This window comes from Homo sapiens, chromosome 2 (assembly GCF_000001405.40).
Source record: "Homo sapiens chromosome 2, GRCh38.p14 Primary Assembly".
In the NCBI taxonomy this organism is placed as follows: domain Eukaryota; kingdom Metazoa; phylum Chordata; class Mammalia; order Primates; family Hominidae; genus Homo; species Homo sapiens.
In genome coordinates, this window is record NC_000002.12 from 41,191,027 (window position 1) to 41,192,651 (window position 1,625).

Here is a 1,625-nt window from a genome sequence, read left to right on the forward strand (position 1 = left end):
AGTACTTTTACCCCTGCTATTGTCTAAGAATAATTCATTTTCTTAGAAAAGATGCCAATTCAGGTCATCCATAATTTGAGAGCTCAGCAATAGGCTGAATAGAATAGTCAATGGCAGAGGCATTTGAGCTTCCAAAGGCTTTATATAAAATAATAGTTTTCTTAGAAAAAGAAACATGTCCATCTTCTTTTTATTTACCTACTATTGTTTCCCATTTTCTTCAGACAAAAGCAGTTTTATTTGTAACATGCAGTCATTTTTAAAACAGGAACTTGCAGAAGTTATAGGTCAAATTTAGAGGCTGTATTCACAAAACAGACAAACAACATATTATGGGACCCTTATAAAAACTTAATTCTCTACTCAGCATATGCTTATAGATTGCTAAATATTTATGGTGCACGCACACACACACACACACACACACACACAGAGTCCCCATCAATGACCTAAATGTGACACAAATAATAATACAAGAATATCTGTGATAAGAGTCAAAGTAAAGCACAGATGCAATTCTCTAAGAGCTTCAACAAGAGCCCACTTTTGTTTACAAGGAATTATAAAAGGCTTCATCAAAGACTTGACAGATGGAGAGTGGAAGACAGAATCAGAGACTAACAGAAGCAAAGACCTAGAGGCAGGCTATTGCACTGGATGTATACCCAGTCTCCCAGGAAATATTCTATTTGATGATAGCTGTGACCCCTTAAAGTTCTTGAAGGTACAGCAATTGCACACACATCAGTAGTTTTACAAGTCTTGCCAGTAACAAATAATACAAAGTTGAATTGCAGTAGCTATATTTTACCAGGTCACTGATTTAGAGGAGAAGGTCAAGATCAACCATGGACTACACATATAGAACAGTCAAGTGTATGTTCAGAGATCCTCCAGTCACTCATCTTTTATAAGCACCACACAACATATGCTTGTCTATAATCCTAAACTTTAAGGTTATTTTCCAGCAACTTCATACGCCATCTCACCTCCCAGACACCCAATGTCCCAAATTATGGTTGATCTCCATCAAGGGGCTCCCTCTATAAATTTGCTATGTCCCAAAGCTACTTTTTAAGCACTATGTGACTTCATTATTGCTGTGTTCCTAGAGCCTGAAAGACAGTGAATACGCCAATAAATAGTTGTTGAATGAATAAAAAATTAATAGATTGATTGGCAGCCTATATGGCAAACAGAAAAGGAATTATCATGTCCATTTTATAGATAAGGTTTCAGAGACAAAGCGGGGTTAAATGGATTACCCAATATCATAAAGTCAACCCTTCTGATTATCTAACCTTCCATGAGGCATGGCTTTTACCCAAATAATGATTAAATAGGCCCGGGGTGGAGGTTGCTTTCAGATAATGTTGGATAAGGAGGGCTTCTTTGTTATCAAGATTCCAGTTCCTCCCCACTGTTCATAGACTGTATCCTCCTCCATGTGTCAGTTTCATCCTGGGGTTTGGTTTCTCCATTGCAGCAAAAATGGGCTGTAATAGTTTTATTTTATATTTATATAAACACAAGGCCACCCTGAAATGGAGGGCTTCTCTACTTCAGAGTATCAAGCAAAAGTCCTTGGCTTCACACTCATCAAAAGTATTTAAGTTATATACCCT